This window comes from Homo sapiens, chromosome 11 (assembly GCF_000001405.40).
Source record: "Homo sapiens chromosome 11, GRCh38.p14 Primary Assembly".
In the NCBI taxonomy this organism is placed as follows: domain Eukaryota; kingdom Metazoa; phylum Chordata; class Mammalia; order Primates; family Hominidae; genus Homo; species Homo sapiens.
Genome location: NC_000011.10, coordinates 9720831 through 9742048, shown reverse-complemented (window position 1 = coordinate 9742048; position 21218 = coordinate 9720831). Strand labels below are relative to the sequence as shown.

The 21218-nt window shown below is 39.5% G+C and overlaps 1 protein-coding gene across 2 annotated transcripts in view, besides 1 other annotated feature; it reads right to left on the bottom strand.

Annotated features, from left to right (window-relative positions):
* SWAP70 (switching B cell complex subunit SWAP70) overlaps positions 1 to 21218 on the bottom strand; it is an 88917-nt gene that overhangs the window by 10945 nt on the left and 56754 nt on the right. For both annotated transcript variants that reach the window (NM_015055.4, NM_001297714.2), the window contains 6 exons: positions 17164 to 17391; positions 13850 to 13996; positions 12598 to 12706; positions 9339 to 9520; positions 3729 to 3836; positions 1702 to 1868 (listed from right to left, as the gene is read on the bottom strand). In NM_015055.4, coding sequence (NP_055870.2) covers positions 1702 to 1868; positions 3729 to 3836; positions 9339 to 9520; positions 12598 to 12706; positions 13850 to 13996; positions 17164 to 17391 — 941 coding nt within the window. The remainder of the gene's footprint in view (positions 1 to 1701; positions 1869 to 3728; positions 3837 to 9338; positions 9521 to 12597; positions 12707 to 13849; positions 13997 to 17163; positions 17392 to 21218) is intronic.
* Positions 1474 to 1593: an enhancer, noted in NCBI's record as "active region_4423". NCBI's record gives its function as "activates an Ori minimal core promoter by ATAC-STARR-seq in GM12878 lymphoblastoid cells {active_cell/tissue: GM12878}" and the evidence as "EXISTENCE:reporter gene assay evidence [ECO:0000049][PMID:35858748]".

Here is a 21218-nt window from a genome sequence, read left to right as displayed (position 1 = left end):
AGGCTGTAGTACAGTGGTGCAAATGCAGCTCACTGCAGCCTCAACCTCCTGGACTCAAGTGATCCTCCTGCCTCAGCCTCCCAAGTAGACTTTTTTTTTTTTTTTTTTTTAAAGATGAGGTTTCACCATGTTGCTCAGGCTGGTCATAAACTCCTGGGTTCAAGTGATCCTCCAGCCTCGGCCTCCCAAAGTGTGGTGGGTGAGCCACACTTTGTGGTGTATTTTTCAGAAGCTTTGTGAGGTGATTCTGATACATAACATTGGTTAAAAAACCACTGGCTTCAATTATCCAAAATTATCCCTTATTCAAAATATCACTCATTCTATAAACACTAAATAACTAAGACTAGTATTTCTAGAATTATCTGGTTCCCTCTGTGATCTAGTCTCTGCTGTGTCATAATCAACTTCCCACAAAACTGCAGTAATACATATAGCATATTTCACCTGCGAATTCTTTGCACAAAAACAATCTATTAACTCTCAACACGGCTCAAATTATGAGGTGGCTCAAAAAATGTTGAGTGTCATGTAGAACGTCACTCTGGACGTCACATGGCACTCAAACATTCCCGTAGAGTGACTCTTCTGCTAAAATCACTGCCGAGTGGCACTGGAGGGGAGTTCCAAGAACCTGATTAACCTCACAGTGCAGTGAATGTGCACCTGTGGGGCCTATATATGCCTGGCAATATGCTACATGCTTAATTTTCTATTTAGAAAATAATTTTTCCTTAAAAAAATTTAAATTTAAAATCTAAATGTCCAAAACAATTTATTTATTTTTGAAGTCACTTTTGGCAAAATATACAACTAAAGATGGCTTCTTCTTTCTCTTCCTATCTAAAGATTAAAGAAACATCTTTTGCTGCTCCACATGTAAAATGGCAGCCATGGAAAATCTACCCTAGCTCATCTCATAACTGCTCCCCAAAACAGGGGGTCAGAGATCAAAGACTGGACCCTGTGCTGCTACTGTAGTGAATACTTTTTAGTGTTGTCTCCCATCCCAGACACCTTAAATAATGTAAATGGGGCAGCAAAGTAGAAACTGGCAGAGGATAGGCTCAATTTTTCCCTTTGGGAGTCTTCATTTTATTTTGTCCTCCCTGCTGCCATGAAGGCCCAAAATTGAGAATTTTCATCTGCGAACATGACTATCATAAAGTTCTAAGGGGAAAAAAAATCTAGGTTTCAAATACTTTTAAAATTAGGATTTCAAGTAGTAATTACTGAAGGAATGTTACCAATCCTGAATGACCAAATAGAAACTGCATATTTCTTCCTTATTCCTCAAAACCTGACGGCAACGTTGGCCTGAACAGGCCTCTGCCTGCATACCAATGGCCCTCTCTGGTCTGGAGCGTGTTGAAGATGCCAAGCTCTTATCAGAGGTAATTCTGGGTTTGTGGATTTTCTCGAATAAGACTAAGGGTACCTCATCAAACATACCTACCAGACTGCTCTAAAATAGGCCCTTATTTAGCCCCAGAAGCAAGGGTTTCCCAGCGCCTCAGAATGAAAAGAAACACTCCAGCCGGTCGAGTCTCCACAGTCTTTCTAATCTGGACAGCACCTCGAGCTCAGTCACAGCCAGAGCAGAGACACTTCTCCCTCTCCACCAGAGTGTTAGTCATTCCAAGAAACTGTATTAGCCCAGGCAAAGTACATAAAGGCAAAGTCTGCAAACAAATCTGGCACCTGGCCTGAAGCTTCCGCACTGTCTCTTCATCTTGCCGGGCCTGTCTCTCATCTTCAAGAGCCTCCTGCAGCTTTAGGTACATGTCTTCCAGCTCCCGTACTCGCTGTAAATACTGTTCCAGTTCAGAGGACTTTTGAGCAACCTGTTCTTCCATCTGCTGTCTGATCTGTTGGTATAAAAGGGTCTTGTTTAAATGCAGGTTGACTTCTTTCTCAGGGAAAGCCTCACCTCCACCTGAGGGGTTGCCCACAGCTGCAGCCTCAGCCCATCAGGGTGGCAGGACCCTGTCCTTCAATCCTTGAACTTAAAGATGGAGGAGATGAGGGTACCACACCCAATCGCAATAGTGAAAGAGTCTGGGAAGAGCAAATTATAACCCAAATTATGTTCTGCCCTGCTGTATTTTCCATCCCTTCCACTCCACATTTTAAGACTCAAGTCAAGAAAAAAATGTTTCCTTGTGTAATTTCTCTCTAAATTCCTTTCTGTCTTAAAGTCACAATCTTTTTACCAATAGGGTCTTCTCTAAAAGGAACGAACCTTTTCCCAGTCAGAGCAAACGAACCTTTTCCCAGTCTTCTTTAGTGTTACACTAAAGAAGAAGGAAAGGTCATCCAGCATGGGATTCCTCCCACACTTCCCTGGCTGTCTCCACTCCCTGGGGCACCTCCAGCCCTAGAGGAACTCAAGCATTTCAGTTAATCTGTATACGTTAATGGTTTTTCCCTTCTGGATTACAGAGTTTTGAATCCCTGCCTTAAAAATTACAAGACAAGAACATCCTAAATATAACAAACACATTAGCCTATTTCTCTGCAGTTGATAAAATATTTTCACTTGCATTAGCTCACTCTGTCTTCAGAAGAGTCATGAGAGAGCATGTGATAATCCTGAACTTAAAGAAGAAAAAGCCAATGTTCAGTAAGAAGGACCAGAGAGGAAACAAGACCAGACATTCTGGCTGTTTCTCTACATCACATTTGCCTTCCTCTTTTCTCTGAACCACAAACACATCTCTTTCAACTCTAAATAACAAAAAGTGACTAGAGGAAATGTCACATGCATCTATTTAGGCACTGGGCTTAGCACTCTCTGACAGAGTATCACTCAATGTGAGAAGACCTGTGTTCCAGCTAACCAGCTAACTACCTAAGACAACCTGGATCTTGGGTCTCTTGAAGATGGAAGCCTCTAGGATGAACCGGAGCTGCCAAGAGCAACAAATCAGACTCTAGATGTTCTCACAATTTCAGGATCTCACCCCCGCCATCCTTGCTTATTACAGAGGAGATATACCATGGAACCTATGCTTACTTTTTCCATAACTATTTATTTTCCAAATCAGAACTGTTTTGAGAATGAAAAGGAATGTTATTAATAATTATACCAGAATGGCAGGGACTCTCCCAGGCAAACCAGGAAATATAGTCACCCTAACCAAGCATTTATCACATCATTCCACAAATTTCTTTTTTTTTCTTTTTTGGAGACAGGGCCTTGCTCTGTCACCCAGGCTGGAGTGCAGTGGCAAAATCACAGCTCACAGTAGCCTTGAACTCCTGGGCTCAAGCAATCCTCCCACCTCAGCCTCCTAAGTAGCTGGAACTACAGGCATGTACCAACAGGCCTGGCTAATTCTTTTTTTTTTTTTTTTTTTTGTAGATATTGCCCAGGCTGGTCTTGAACTCCTGGGCTCAAGCAATTCTCATGCCTTGGCCTCCCAAAGTGCTGGGATTACAGGAGTGGGCCACCATGCCTGGCTCCATAAATTTCCACTTAGGAGTCTTGAAAACAAGGTTTATGTCTTTTGCCATTACATCTTTGGCACACTGCCTGGCACATAGAAGGTGTTCAATAAACAGATAATTAATGAATGAACAAACATGCAACTTCCCCTACAGCCCATTCCAGGTCAGTAGCAAAGCCAAGCTGATGACATGCCTCACTGTAGCCTCCAGCCCTTCCCTGTTCCCACCGACCCAGGCTGAGCTACTGCAGCTGCTTTCTCCAGCCATGTGATACTCACAAGCTTCTCTCTTTCCAGCTCTGTGCTGAACCTGGCCTGAAGTTCCACTTGAGTCTGAAGGCGTTTCTTTTCCTCTTCTGCTGCACGAGATGCTGCTTCCTCCAGTTTCTAGCCAATCAAAAACCCATCCACAGAAAAGCAGGTGTTAGAGTAGAAGTACATTAAAGAGAGAGAGACAGTCATACTTAAGTACAGGAAAAGCCAAACATTCTTAACATTCAATAAAGATAATAGAATAAAAACTTTTAGCTCCATTAGAATTCCAGTCTAACGATCTGCTGAATCAACATACAAAATAAATTAGGTAAATGAAAGACTATTGATAAGCCTGAACAACATTTTGCAAAGAAAGTTTTAGTACAGTCATTGAATTAAATTCACTTGGGATTGCATTCATGAGATTTTTATTTATTTATTTATTTATTTGAGACTGAGTCTTGCTCTGTCGCCAGGCTGGAGTGCAGTGGCACGATCTCGGCTCACTGCAACCTCCACCTCCCAGGTTCAAGTGATTCTCCTGCCTCAGCCTCCCGAGTAGCCGGGACTACAGGCACACACCACCACATCCAGCTAATTTTTGTATTTTTAGTAGACACGGGGTTTCATCATGTTGGCCAGGATAGTGTCGATCTCTTGACCTCGTGATCCGCCCACCTCAGCCTCCCGAAGTGCTGGGATTACAGGTGTAAGCCACCATGCCCAGCCACATTCATGAGATTTGAGAGCTATTTCTTGAGCTCTTTCTGTACAGTTTTTTCATCTTATACATTATTCATTATAACTTTTACCAGAACCAATTTCTAGAAGGGTGGCATAAGGAGCTCCACAGACCCTTTCCCCAACAAAACAACCATAACTGGTGAAAATTATTGTTAAAAAAACAAAACCTTTAAAAGTCTCTAGAAATTATGCTAAGGACATTCTAAAATGGAGAACATTTATCTAAGAAAATCTAACTCTCAGTAAGAATCGTGAGGGTCTGTGGCATATGATGCACTCCCTCCCCACCCCCACAGTGTCAGTGAGAAGAAAGCTCTTCTCCTGGCAGATGGAACCCCAAACAAGGGTTCCCCTCCCCTCAGCTCAAGCCTAGGGCTATGATACCTTCCTGGGAGGGGCAGGCTGGCTGCCAGAATTTCTCTTTGTCCCCAGCTGCATGTTGCAGAAACTTTATTCCAGGCAAGAGTGGCTGAGAATTAAGAGGAGGCCAGAAGCTCCATGAGAACAACACACTAACACACGGACCAGCTAAAAGTGTTGTTGGTTTGTTGGTTGACTGCTATGAGGTCTCGCTATGTTGCCCAGGCTGGTCTCAAATTCCTGGCCTCAAGTGATCCTCCCACCCTGTCCTCCCAAAGTGATTAACAGGTGTGAGCCACTGCTCTTCCAGACCAGCCAAACGTCTGACAGACAGAACCAGAGAAAGAGACAGCTAAGAAGAGTTCTCATGTAGTAGGAACAAGTCTCAAAGACTGACCTTAAAGACTACATGTAGGCCTGAATTTAAATGATCTCAGACTGTGAGGCAATTCAGGTTCCAGGGCATTATGGAGAACAACAGAACAAAATTAGTGAACTCTAACAGCTGTTGGTGTGGTACCAACAGAGGTGGAAAGCTTAAATGAGAGATCAGAGAAAGACACTCAAAGAGAGCCCTGCAAAAATCAGGGTCTTCGCAGGGTGACTGTGTTCCTGTCCAAGCCTGTGCCTCTGAGGAGCAACAGTCAGAAGCTTCACACTGTGAGGAAAACAAACTTCACTGAAATAGTCCAGCCAAGTCACTAAACAAATAAAGGAGCAAACAACAGCAGGCCTCTGGGGAGAGGGGTGGAATCAGAATCCAGAGTTGCTACCACACATTATCTAAAATGTCTAGTTTTCTACAAGAAATTATGAGACATGCAAAGAAAAAGGAAAGTATGGCCCATATACAGGGAAAAAGCAGGCAACGGAAACTGCCTTTGAAGAGGCCCAGATGGTGGATTTAGCATATGAAGACTTCAAAGCAGTTATAAATATTTTATGCTCAAATAACTAAAGGAAACCATACTTAGAGAAGTAATGGAAGGAATGACAATATACCATAAAATAGAGAATAATAAAGAGATATAAATCACAGAAAAAACCAAATGGAAATTCTGGAAGTAAAAAGTCCCATAACTGAAACGAAAAATTCACTAGAGGGACTCAACAGTATATTTGGGCTACAAGAAAAATCTACTAAAGACAGATCTATAGAAATTATGCAACTGGAAAACAGAAAATAAAAAAGAAGAAAAATGAACACAGCCTTAGAGAAATGTGGGACACCATTATGTGCACCAACATTTGCATAACGAAAGTATCAGAAGAGGGAAAAAAAAGTAGAAAAAATATTTGTGGCTGAAAACTTATCCAGCTTAAGGCAAAACATTAATCTACATATTCAAGTTCAATACACTCTAAACAGGATAAACACAAAGAGATCTACACCCACATACACCACAGTAAAACTGTTGAAAGACAAAGACCAAAAAATAATCTTAAAAGCAGAAAAAGAAAAATGATTTACCACACACAAGGGAACTCCTGCAAGCTTGACAGCTGACTACTCATCAGAAAGTTCTGACTAGTTCTCACCAAGATATTATCAATAGAAGTACAGTGTGACATTTCTAGGCTGGAGCACCGCATTGCCAAACCCTAGAACACTTTTTCTTCCGGCACAGTGAATAGCAACACTCAAGATGGCGGCTGGTCCATCAGCCCGGATTTCATAATTACACACTTTGACCCAGCATTCCCACTTCTGAGAATTCATTCCCTAGAGATATCAGAACATGTATGAACACATATACAATGACACAGGTACAAGATTATTCCCTACAGCATTACCTATTAAAACAAAAGATTAACACAACCCAAATGTTCACTAACAGGGAATGACTAAGTAATGACACAGTTGTATAACAGAATATTCTACAGCCATAAAAAAGAATGAGGTAACTCTCTTTATACTGATATGAAAAGATCTAAAAAATATATTAAGTGAAATAAACTGGAGGCAGAACAGTGACACTAGTATATACTTTTGTGTGTTTAACAAATGGGAAAATAAGAATGTATATTCATATTTCCTTACCTTGGGCAAGGGGTGGAAATTCATAAGTGGGGGAGGGGGAGAAAATCTTTCACAGCTGCCTTTTTATATTTGTATATTTTTGAACCTACCCAAATGATTATATTTTTTAAAAGAAACAAAAGTAGAAATAAAAATTTAAGTAAATTCTTTAAGTAAATCTATTAATTTATAAAAACTACCATGATTTCTTATTCCTTCTTCTAATTAAAATGAGGCCTGTCAAATTTTAAGAAACCCACAGATATGTAACCTAATTCCAGATGATTAAAAGATTCAGCTGGGCATGGTGCCTCATTCCTGTAATCCCAGCACTTTGGGAGGCTGAAGTGGGTGGATTGCTTGAACCCAGGAGTTTGAGACTAGCCTGGGCAACATGGCAAAACCTCATCTCTATTAAAAATACAAAAAAATTAGCCAGGTATGGTGGTGCACACCTGTAGTCCCAGCTACTTGAGATATTGAGGCAAGAAGATGTCTTGAGCAGGGGAGTGAGCATGGCACCACTGCACTCCAGCCTGAACAACAGAGCGGGACCCTGTCTCAAAATAAATAAATTTAATTAAATATTCATCTAAGCTGTTTTTTTCTAAGAATGCCTCCATGAAAAAATTGGAGAACTGTGTTTATTGACAAGAAAATCAAAGATTACTAAGCGATCTATAAGAATTTTTCAGCACTTATCCAAGAATCCTAAATCAGTCTTTTAAATAATTCTATAAACCTAGGTAGTGGGAAAGCTGTCTACATAGGTCTACAGCTTGCTAACACCAGGCATGCCTTCTTCACATTATACAGAGCAGAACACTACATGCTCCTGGAAGGCAGAGTTTAAAAGTTAAAAAGGGCATCAATGTATGAATCTCAAATGTACAATGCTAAGTCAAAGAATGCGGTCTTAAAATGTACATTCTGTATGATTCCATTTATATGACAATTTGGAAAAGGCAAAAATACAGGAACAGAGAATTGATCAGTGGTTTCCAGGGGTTAGGGATGAGGGAAAGACCTGAATAAAGAATATAAAATGCTCCAAAATCCAAAACTTTTTGAGCTCTGACATAATGCTCAAAGGAAATGCTCATTGAAGCATTTCCAATTTCAGACTTTTGGATTTGGGAGGCTAAGGCAAGAGGATCTCAACTGGTAAATACAGTATATAATGTAAACATTCCAAAATCCAAAAAAATCCCAAATCTGAAACACTTTGGGTCATAAGCATTTCGGATAAGGGATACTCAACCTGTATTGGCAATAATCTATCTTAACCTGGGTAGTATTTTCATGGGTATTCACTGTATGATTATTTGTATATACATATTTCATATTCTCCTCTACAGGTACGAGCTATTTTATAATTTTAAAATTATAAAAAAGGACACCAAGTTCTAGCTCCCCACCATTCCCTCATAACACCCACTTTTGATGTGTGCACAGTGGAAGGAAGCAGCAGCAATCACATACGGCAGGTGCTCAGCGTAACCTTTAAAGGGAATTTTTACAGAAAATATATTGCAGCAGAAAGAGGCAAGATGCAAGACTGTTTCAAGGGTGGGAGGCAGTAAGAAATGAGGAGCTGCTTTTAGAAAGTAAGTGTGTGATAGTAATAACTTTTTCTAAGATTATATATATGCCCATGCAGTTCCTAAGATTATAAAAGCATTCTTAAAAATCTTCATGAGTCTACTCTACTCAGAGGAAGTTCAGCACACAATGTGGCATTTCTACGGGTTACCAAGGGAGAACCCCACTAGGTATGTAGAGTCACAGATTATGAGCCACCCCCATATCCCAGAGCAAAGTTTTTGCACAGATGTGCATGAAAGAGTCCTTGAGCTTGTGGTTAGCAAGTGCTCATTGATTCAAGGCAGACAGACTCAGCCCAAAAGTGTCTCAAATAAAGACCATATCCATATACTGGGGACTCACTACCACCCCTGGGATCACGACATAACCGAGGAAGTGTTCCCAGTGAACATCAACTATCTCATATAGCATATGGTACTTGACCTCCTAATCTTGAGATGGAAGGAAAAGCTGACCCAGACTGTATCTTTAACTCCAAACAGTAGGTAAAACTAACAGTTCTAAAGTAAGGGTCTTCCAAGGTACTCATGAGTGAAGATGGGAGCTAAGGAGAAAACTAAAAAGCAACACACCTTGTCCAGGCCAGTAAGAACAGCCTTGACACCCTCAAGGGAATGAAATTTCCCATCTTCTTCTGACGAAATTCAACTGTGCTCATTATTATTTAAAATATTCCTTCCTAGCCAATGAAATGTTTTTGCTGCCGAGATCAACATAGTTTCAGGGCTAGGAAAACCAGTATGTCTCACTTGATGGTCTGGAAACACTTCTGAGAACAGTTCACCACAAGTATCTCCCTAAAACTGCACTACATTCATCTTGGTAGAACCAACACCCCTAAGCAAGGCACGATGGCTTCTGCAGGGGAATGAAGGGCCCTCTCCCAGCCCAGCGCCCATTCCCACCTTCCGCACGGCCTCCAGCTCCTGCTGCTTGCTTTCGTTGGCGGCCTGGAGTTCCTTCATTTGTCGCTCCAGTTCCTCTTGTTCAGCCAGCTGCTTCTTCCGGAGTTCTTTCCGACGCTGGCGGGCTTCTTTGTGTGGTGGAGGGCTGCCCAGCTTCAACAGATGAATAGTAGAATGAATGGCTGTAAAAGGTGTAGGAGGAAAAAAAAAATGGGGAGATATTATTTATTCTTTGTAAGCCTACTATGCAAATGGCACAGTGGGAAGAAAATGAGACAGGGAGCCAGAAGGCCCAGTGTAGATTCTGATTTTGTCACTCCATAGTGGTGTGACCCTGAGCAGTCACATAACCTCTTGGTTTTTTTTCAGAGCTCCCCTCAAGAAATAACCTCTTGCAGCATCAGTTTCCACATCTTTAAAATGAGAGAGATGATCTATAAAGTCCTTTCTCGCTCCAAAATTCTGTTAACTGTATCTGTGCTCAGAAACACTCGATCTGGGAATATTGCACACATTTTTAAGAACTAATGACAATACTTTCGACTCCTTTCTCTATACTTTTCAAAAAGCCAAACAAGATTAAGACACAGTAAGGACAGAGATTCAAATTTCTGATATCTAATTTGCAACCTACTGTGTTTAGTTGGCCTATCATCCATGCCTTATGCAACCCCTTCCTGAGATAACAGGTAACAGCAGCTGTCATTTATTTTAAAAATAAAATAAATACATCCTTTACATGCATTATCTAACTGTTATACAACATCTGATTTTTCTTTTGATATTTTAAATTACTTAAATGTAATTTCTTGAATAGCTAACACTTTCACATTATTCAAATTCAAAAGACACACAGGAAAGTCTCCCTCCTACTCCTGTCCCTCAAGTACTAGATTCCCCTCCCCACTAGCAACTAATGCTAACAGTTTTTATGCATCTTTCCTGAGATAGTATAAGCCTATACAAATAAGTATGTATATATGTCTTCCACCTTCTTTTCACACAAACAGTGGCACAACACACTCTTCTGACCCTCAGTTTTTTTTATTTAATCTATCTCACAGTTCCCAGTAGCAATACATAAAGTACTATACATAAAGTACTGCATGGCACACCAAAAGTACTATACATGAAGTACTGCATGGTACACCACTGTGCAGCTAAACCATAACTTATTCAACCATTTCCCTATTAATAGATAGCTAGATTGTTTGCAATCTATGTCATTTTGAAAAATGTGTGAGTATATCTGTCATTATCTATTTTCTAATCCTCACCACAACCCTGGGAAGAATGCACTATTATTATCCCCACTCCACAGAAGAGAAAAGCAGTTACAGAATTTATAACTCAACCCAAGAGACCCAGGAAAGAGCATTCAAACCAGGTGCATTTGCCTCGAACTCTTAAACCACATCAAAAATGACTACATTCTCCAATATAACATAATTTTATCTACGTCTAAGAATATAATATTCAGAATCTCCTTTCAGGATTTTTTTTAAAAAGCCCTCTTGTATTGCATTTTATTCTTTACCAATTTTGGAATAATGGAACACTTTAAAGTTATTCATTCACTACGGAGCCATAAAAAAGAACAAAATCATGTCTTCTGCAGCAACATGGATGCAGCTAGAGGCCACTATGCTAAGCAAATTAACGCAGAACAGAAAACCAAATAATGAATGTTCTCACTAATAAGTGGGAGCTAAAAACTGGGTACTCATGGACATAAAAGTGGCAACAGCAGACACTAGGGACTACTGGGACGGGAGGTAGAGACGGGGGAAGAGGTTGGAAAACTCTAGCTGTTGGGTACAATGCTCACTTCCTGGGTGATAGATTCAATCATACCCCAAACTTCGGCATTACACATATACCCATGTAACAGACCTGCACATGTACCCCTGAATCTAAAATAAAAGTTGAAATTTTTTTTAAAGGTTATTAATTCAAAAGTTTGTGTTCCTGAGTTACCCAAAACTAGTGATTTCTTGTGGAAGTAATGGATCTTGAAAATCACTTGAAGTATTAAAAAACTATTGCATAATTCCTCTTTTCTTTTACATATTACCTCAAGCTCAAGATGGCCACTTTAAAATTCTTCACAGTCCTTAAAAGGGAAAATTCTATATTCTTCAAATAATAAGAATAAGTAAAACCTAAAATCTCTAAGATATGGAATCAACCCAGGTGTCCACCAACAGTTGTAGTGTGTGCATACACACATATACCTTGGAATACTATTCAGTCATAAAAAAAGAATGAAATAATGTCTTTTGCAGCAATATGGATAGAACTGGAGGCTATTATCTTGAAGTATTTCTTGAAATAACCCATAAACAGAACATAAAATACATGTTCTTTTTTTTTTTTTTTTTTTAAGTAGAGACGGGGTTTCACCGTGTTAGCCAGGATGGTCTCGATCTCCCAACTTCATGATCCACCCGCCTCTGCCTCCCAAAGTGCTGGGATTATAGGCATGAGCCACCGCACTCGGCCTACATGTTCTTATTTATAAGTGGGAACTAAAATATGTGTACACATGGACATACAGCAAGGAATAATAGACATTGGAGACTCAGAAATGTGGGAAGGCAGGAGGCCGGCAAGGGATGAGAAATTACCTAACAGCAACTATGCGAGTGATGATTACACTAAAAGCCCAGATTTCATCACTACACAATATATCACTGTAGCAGAACTATACTTGCAACCCCAAAATCTATTTAAAAAGTAAATCTCCCATTTATAATTTACCCAAAGTTCATTATGCAAATAAAACTAATGAAAACTTTGAGAGCGCATCTTAATTTGTTTTTCTCTCAGCTACTGTATCACATGCAGAAAATAACTACAATGAGGAAGTAACGCCTTAGCATCCTTCATGAGATTCAAAACTAGAAAGTCAGAGCTCTCGGCCAGGCGTAGTGGCTCACGCCTGTAATCCCAGCACTTTGGGAGGCCAAGGCAGGTGGATCACAAGGTCAGGAGATTGAGACCAGCGTGACCAACATGGTGAAACCCCGTCTCTACTAAAATTACAAAAACATTAGCTGGGCGTGGTGGCTATAGTCCCAGCTACTCTGGAGGCTGAGACAGGATAATTGCTTGAACCCAGGAGGTGGAGGTTGCAGTAAGCCAAGATAGCACCACTGCACTACAGCCCGGGCAACAGAGCAAGACTCCGTCTCAGAAAAAAAAAAGAAAGTCAGAGCTTTCAAGTTATATCATGGCAAATAATAAAAAATCACCTTACCTTGAATCCACTCCTGTTTCTTCTTCTTATCTGAAGCACTGATTTCAAAAGTCTTATCAAAACATTTTACGAGAAAAAGGCATTTCTTTCCATCTTTGTCAGGCAAGGACTAAAACAGAAAGCAAAATTAGTTCCTCAAAATTTTAAGTATTTAAATGAAATTCAATTTGAATTATTTATAAAAATGAGCTGAAACTTAATGTCAATGAAAAATACCTATAAATTCATATTACTGATTTACTAATGCTGTTTCCTAAGCACATTACTTATGGTAAAAATGACCCCAGTTGGTATACTACATCTAGACTGGTAAAACTATAAACACCTGATAGGATGCCATGCATTGGGATTTCCTGAGTATAGCAGCTCTTATCCTGAGCACCTCCCTTGCAGGAATCCTGGAAGGTACATCTGTGATGATGTTACAAGAGGTATTAACTCCTATGGGATATGAAGCACCTAAGCCAGGGTGATTCCTACATCTGCTTAATGTGGCTTTCTCTTCTTGCACTTGGAATGTTGTGGCTGGCAACCCGTGGTTTCTGTCCTATATGTTTATGAGTAAACTGGCCTTTGGTAACCTTGTAGATCTCCATGTTTAGTTAAATCTAAGCAGACTCCTTCATGGGCATCACACATCTCAAGACATTATTATTCACTAAAATACATTATAGTTTATGTGTGAGATTTCAGGTATTTAAATGTTCTTCAACACATACAGACACGGGGACAGTTCATATAAAAATTAAAAACTCAAAAATTTATGTTCTTGAGAATTTCACTTCTTTAAAGAATTAGTACCTATGAATAAAGTGTCCTGAAAGTCACCCAAAGTATTCAAAGACAATGCTTACATCTTCTTTTATTTCTTGCACTCAAAATGTCCCAGATTTTCTGGCATATTCTTTATTCCAAATATTGTCTTACTGAACTTTTTTTTACTTTATTATCTCTTTTATGACTCCATTTTATTCAATAAATGATTCCTTAAATGTTCCAATAAATGATTTAATCCTTATACTTTATTCACGAGTAGAAGGTTGAAAATAAATTCACATTAGAAAAAAATTTTGTCAGCTATGTTTAATTTTTGGTTCAGAAACCATGGCAACTGCATGCCTATATTATTTTGGAAATGTAAATTTGGGGATTATTTTAAGGTTCTAGAGTCTAGGTGGAAGAAGGTGAGAAGCTACTTCAGCATCAGGGGGCAGCACGGGGTAATCATGCAAAGAAGTAAGAGTAGACTCACCTCTACACAGCAATTTTCATCCAAGAGAATGTCTCCTTTCTTATCCTTCAGATCCTCACTCACATAGTAAGAAATTATGTTGGGTTTTAGTACAAACCATCTTTCAGTCCAGTTTTTCCGTCTGTGGCCCTTTTTCATCATGTAACCCTGTGAAAGATTAAATGTGATATAAATTATTGTCTTTTTATTTGTAAGAGCTGACATCTCTTCCTTGATATACTTGCCTACTCCATTATTTGATATATGATCCTGAAAACATGAACACCAATTGTTCTTGGATCCTCTGAGAATCTATGGAGGGGCATTACACCTAGTCATGCAAGCATAACCAGACAAAAATTTGCATATAATTTCAGACACTTCAGAGACAACCCCTCCCCAAAGTGATATGCAGACAATAGAATCCCCTTGACATTAAGTAGCATTTGAGATTTCTAAAAAATCATTATCTTTTAGAGATACCTATTGAAATATTTATAAACAAAATAAAATACCTGAGATTTGCTTCAAAATAATACAGGAGAGGTAAAAGTAGGTGGGGTAGGATTAGCCACATGGTGGTGGTTACTGGAGCTGGTTGATGCATATGTGGGAGTTCATTATACTGGTCTATTCCACTTAAAAAGAAAGAATGAACCCCTAACAATGATTCTCTGTAAATTAAAACCTCGATCAGGCCTGATGCAGTGGCTCATGCCTGTAATCCCAGCACTTTGGGAGGCCAAGGCAGGAGGATCGCTTGAGGCCAGGAGTTCAAGATCAGTGTGGGCAACATAGTGAGACTTCATTTCTACAAAAAAAAAATTTTTTTTTAGGAGTGTCGCTCTGTCGCCCAGGCTGGAGTGCAGTGGGTGCAATCTCGGCTCACTGCAACCTCTCTGCCTCCTAGGTTCAAATGATTCTCCTGCCTCAGCCTCCTGAGTAGCTGGGACTACAAGCGCATGCCACCATGCCTGGCTAATTTTTGAATTTTTAATAGAGATGGGGTTTCAACATGTTGGCCAGATGGTCTCAAGCTCCTGACCTCGTGATCCGCCCACCTCAGCCTCCCAAAGTGCTGGGATTATAGGCGTGAGCCACCACGTCCAGCCAAAATTTTTAAATAAAATAAGTAAAACCTCAGTCACTGAAAATGTTAAATGACTGAGGTAAGTAAAACCTCAATCAATGAAAATGCTAAAGCTTGGCCACATATATCTTCTAAACCAAATATTCAAGGACTTCCACCTCTGGTACCAACCTACCTTTCTGCCTGACCTCTCAATATTCTGAAGGAGGAACTCTGCCCCAGACCAACAGGAAAATACTGCACCAGGAGTTCAAATACTGGCTTCTAAATGTGGCTTCTAAGCTCACACTCACTAGTTCTGTATTTCCTTCCCACAGACTGGCCTCAAAGGTGTGTGACTCAAATGTTTACTTAAGCAAAATTATACATTATTATAGGCCAAAGCCCTTCAGGCTTGTTTAAGAATAGCTGCTATTTTTAGTATTAAATCTACAGGTGCTGATAGCGCATGATAGAATATACATATCATTAAATATATATGATATTGATTGTAAGTTTCAGTTGGTTATTATATTAAGTTCTAATCATATTACATATTCAGTTTCCTAATCTTTGGACATTTAAGCAAAAGCTATCTCATACGGCAATTCTACTACAGTCATATCCTGCCATCCTAAGAGGCTGAGAATTCCACTTCAGATGGAGACCACGTCTCATACCTCTTTGTAGCACCAAAAACCTATACAAATTCAGCCTCAACATTTATGATGTGCTCCATTAGGAAAAAAAAGAACAAAGACAACACTATTACCTATGGAAGAAAGAAAGGATCAAAGTAAGGAAATCCCAAATCAGTTATTATTCAATATAATAATGTAAGAAGTTTCAAAGAATCACCAAAAAAATATAAATTGTATTTAACAAGCATCGAGCTTCATCTGCTATGCTGGGTGCTGAGAAAAAGAGGACAGTCTAAATAAGACAAAAGCAACTTTGCTACATAAAGGTATTTTTTTTTCCACAAGTAGAGGTATTTTTCTGATTTTATAAAAATAATATAAAATCATATAGAAAGTCCAATAATACAGAAAGGAATAAAGAAGAAAAAAATTCACCAAAATCCCACAATCTAGAGGTGATCACTGTAAACATTTTAGCAAGCACCTTCCTGACAGCTCTACACACATGCATAACATTACCTGAAGGGGATTACAAGATATCTCCTGTTCAGCAATGTGGTTTTTTTTCACTCAACGTTATGCCATGGAGATCTTTCTGGATCAGTGGTTATGAATTTCCAAAATAAAATATTTTGGAAATGGCCTGGGCGCGGCGGTTCACGCCTGTAATGCCAACACTTTGGGAGGCCAAGGCTGGTGGATCACAAGGTCAAAAGATCGAGACCGTCCTGGCCAACCTGGTGAAATCCCATCTCTACTAAAAATACAAAAGCTAGCTGGACGTGGTGGCGCACACCTGTAGTCCCAGCTACTCAAAAGGCTGAGGCGGGAGAATTGTTTGAACCCGGGAGGCGGAGGTTGCAGTGAGCCAAGATCATGCCACTGCACTCCAGCCTGGTGACAGCGTGAAATTCCGTCTTGGAAAAAAAAAAAAAAAAAAATATATATATATATATATATATATATATATATATATATATTTTGTATTTTTAATACAGACAGGGTTTCAACATGCTGGCCAGGATGGTCTTGAGCTCCTGACCTGGTGATCCACCCGCCTCAGCCTCCCAAAGTGCTGGGATTACAGGCATGAGCCACCACGTCCAGCCAAAATATATATATATATTTTAACTGTATTCTTAACTGTACTTTAAAATCGCACAAATAATTTTTTTTAATGAAAGCCTAATACAAGACTGGAAAAATAAGAAATTTTATTCCTATTCAAAATCAGGCCAGGCCCAGTGGGTCACACCTGTAATCCCAGCACTTTGGGAGGCCGACGTGGGTGGATCACTTGAGGTCAGGCATTCGAGACCAGCCTGGCCAACATGGTAAAACCCCATCTCTACTAAATATACAAAAATTAGCTGGGCATGGGGGTGCATGCCTTCAAGGCAAGAGAATCCCTTGAACCCAGGAGATGGAGGTTGCAGTAAGCCAAGATCACGTCACTGCACTCCAGACTGGGCGACAGAGCAAGACTGTCTCAAAAAAACAAAAAATAAAAAAACGAAATCAGTGTAAGAAAATAAGTGACTTATACTCATCTTTGTGACAAAAATATTAATTTTAAAATGTCAAATTCTAAAGATGAGAAAAAAAAACAGTAACAGAATTCTTACCTGCTTTAACACATCTAATATAAGTTCATTAAAGACTTCATTAATTGCCATAGACACAGTCTGCCGGTCCATGCCTTTGCTAAACTGTCCATTTCCAATAAGCTCAATAAGTTCCCATGCAGAAAGGCCATTTTTACTGTCATCAAAGTTGATTTTATAATGTTCAAATTGTTCTTGCTGCCAACCTCCTCCCATAGCTTCTGTAAGCTTCTTAAGCAGGTATTCAATCTACATAAAGAATGTGAAATAATTATTTCCTAGTTAAAAAAAACTTTAACATAGTTATGTATTTATGTTATAAACACTGATAAGTTCAACTTAGGAAATACTCTTTACAGTTCCAAAAATGCCTACCTTTAGAGTCTCCTAAAATACAGGGAGAGAAGTATAAATAAAATGCCACTGGTCTGTATTAGTGCAGAATAAGTAAAGGAATCAAAAACTGATAACCCTCTAATAGTGTAGTATATTTGTCTGCAGAACTAAAACAAACTGCAGATATATGACAGCATACAAACTAATTAATGTGATCTGATTACTCGCTGTTAAATATTTCAATATATCAGAACATTAGTCTTACTCAACAAACAAGCGCTAAATTAAACATCTCAAAGTAATATGTACAAGTTATTGATCAATTTACAAACTTTCCACATAAGCCAATTATTTAAAATTCATGCTGCTTCCTCCCACTGGAACACTACAATGTTGTAAATAATGGTGGAATACCTAGCATGAGCAGGAAAAGCTTACTAAATCCTAAAACATCATACTTTGTGTAGAAAATACTGCTATTGAAATAATAGCAGTTAGGCCAGGAGCAGTGGCTCATGCCTATAATCCCAACACTTTGGGAGGCCAAGGCAGGAGGATCACTTGAGGCATGGAGTTCAAGACCAGCCTGGCCAACATGGCGAAACCCTGTCTCTACTAAAAATACAAAAAAGTTAGCCAGGCATGTGGCGCACACCTGTAATCCCAGCTACTCAGGTGGCTGAGGCATGAGAATCGTTTGAACCTTGAAGACAGAGGTTGCAGTGAGCGGCGATTGTGCCACTGCACTCCAGCCTGGGCAAGAGCAAGACTCTTGTTTCAAAAAAAAAAAAAAAAAAAAGTAAAGAAGGAAAGAAATAACAGCAGTTAAACAAAACAATAAGGCAGTAAAACTGAATGAGAATTGATACCTCTTATTTTCTGGAAAGCCCAAATATCCTATACAGTGCTCTCAAACTCAACATATGTCCAAAAATGAATGAATCCTCTCTACTTTCCAAATGGCTTCCCCGCTGTATTATTGATTTCCATTAGGAATAACACCATTCACACATCCATGTCAGGATTCTTGCTCCCCAACCCCCACATCAAACCAAGGATATAATCCTGCTGTTTTATTTCCCTAAATGAGCTCCCTAATAAGTTTGAAAACTGTGGGTTATGGCCCACTATGAAGTCAACTTAGTGGGCAGCAACCAGCATTTTTTTTTAATGGAATGAAAAACATGTGAGTTCATCCACAATAAAGAAATAGTGTTTTGTGATAAGTTTTGCTTTGAGTGTGTGTGTGTGCTGGGTCATGATATAAAATGTTTATCTTCCTATGGGTTGCAGTGAAAATAAAATTTAAAACTTTGTCCCAGGCAGCTCTGAACTCTGTCACTCCTATTTGATCTGCTTTTGGTCGGGCCTCCTGGTTGGTATCTGTACCTCCAGGTCGCCACCTTTTATACATATTCTGCCAGAGGGATTTTTCTAAAACAAAAGCCAGAGCCTGACCCTCCCCTCTTTAAGCCCTGCCCTGGCTCCCTATCACCTCAAAGACAGAGGCCAAGCTCCTCTGCATCCCTTGGTGATCATCCCCCAGCCTACTTTCTCAAACATGTCCCACCTCAGACTTTACACTCCACCAATACCACCAATACCATAGATCAGGGGATGCAAACTTTTACTGTAAAGGGTTGAACAGTAAATATTTAAGCTTTGTGCCTCCCTATCATGTGTTCTTCCTTGATTTTGTTTTTTTACAACCCTTTAGAAATATAAAAACTATTCCTTAGCACATGTGCCACGCAAATATAGGCTGTGGGCTGGATTTAGCCAGCAAGCTGTAGTTTGCCACCACTTGCCATAGATTATAAGTAGTTTACCCTCTTACCATATTTTCCTTATGCTTTATGTCATTCCCCACTCTGTCTTCTCTGTCTAGAATACCTTTTCCCACCTCTCGACCCAGTTAATTGGTATTTATTCAAGTCCTACATCCTCTAGAATATTCCTACTCAAAACGAAGCATGCGGACCAGTGACGTCGGCACCACCTGGAAGCTTGTTAGAAATGAAGACTGTCAGACCAACCAAAGGACCAAAAATCAGAATCTGTATTTTAATTAAAACCCCTAGTACTTCCATTTGCACACTAAAGTTTTGAGAAGCACTGCTGCTTTAGCAAACCTGCTCTGACCAACCCTAACCCAGGTCACGTGTTCCTTTTCTAGGTCACTGCACTTAACGTATTTTCACTCATTCGCTTTTCTACCATTTTCTGCATTCCTTGTAGGAGGAACCATGTCCCACTCATCTTTAATCCCCAAAGCTCAGCGTGGTACCTCAGAGCTCAACTAATGTTTGCTAAACTGAAATTAACTAAGTAAGCCTTAATTTTCTCATCTATGAAATGGGCATAATAATACTTACAGAAATGCTGTGGGGTGAAATGAGACAAATACAGAGCAATTTGCACAATGCCCATCACATAGTAGGTACTCCACTAATGTTGCTTCCCTTCTGCACTGAGTGAAATACTATTCAACCATTCAAAATTACATTTAAAGAAAGCATTTATGAAACAAAAGAAAGTGAAGAATACAAAACTAAATTTACCTATTATTTCTACTGCACGAAGATTATGTAATTATTTTGACAACTATTTGTCAGAAACAGTAGGTTTAATTTGTTACAATAGGATCATGAGTTAATTTTTTTCCTTTTTCTTCTTTGCATTTCCAATAATTTGGTTATAATGTTTTTTGTAAAATAACATATTTTAACAGAAAAATAGACATGCATGTTTGCAAAGGCATATATATTCACAAAATATCACAAGTTCAAAAAATATCAAGAGAAGCCAGGTGTGATGGCTCAAGCCTGTAATCCCTTTGGGAAGCTGAGACAGGAGCATCACTTGGGGCCAGGAATTCAAGATCAGCCTAGGCAACATGGCAAGATCTCATCTTTACAGAAAAATTAAAAAGTTAGCCAGGTGTGGTGGTACATGCCTGTAGTCCCAGCTACTCAGGAGGCTAAACAGGGAAGACTGCTTGAGCCAAGGAGTTTGAGGTTACAGTGAGCTATGACCACAACACTGCACTTGAGCTTGGGCAACAGAACAAGGCCCTATCTCATTAAAAAAAAAAAAAAAGAAAGAAAGAAAAAATATATTAAAAGGTCTATTGATTTAATTTGATGAGATGCTATAAGCTCTTTTAGGACAAAGATTTATCTTATACCCTAAAAACAGCACATGGTAAGTGTTTACCAAAATTTACTTGTTGGAGAAAAACACGCTTAGATCTTTTCTTTCTCTTGTTGGAGATATGTCATCTACTGTTAAACTTATCAGATATTATCAGGTATTTCCTTGGCTCTTTAAAGAGAAGTAACAGGGATAGGCAGAGGAAGAGAAAAAAAGAAAATGTTAAGAAAAAGGGAAAAGGGAAGAGGGAAGGAGAAAATGGGACAGAAAAGAGAAAGATATAAAAAGATTAAGAGATTGAACGCCAGGCGTGGTGGCTCACGCCTGTCATCCCAGCAATTTGGGAGGCCAAGGCGGGCAGATCACCTGAAGCCAGGAGTTCCAGACCAGCCTGGCCAACATGGCAAAACTCCATCTCTACTAAAAATACAAAAATTAGCTGGGTGTGGTGGTGCGCACCTGTAATCCTAGCTACTCGGGAGGCTGAGGTAGGAGAACCGTTTGAAGCCAGGAGGCAGAGATTGCAGTGAGCCAAGATCGCGCCACTGTGCTCCAGCCTGGGAGACAGAGCTAGACTCCATCTTTAA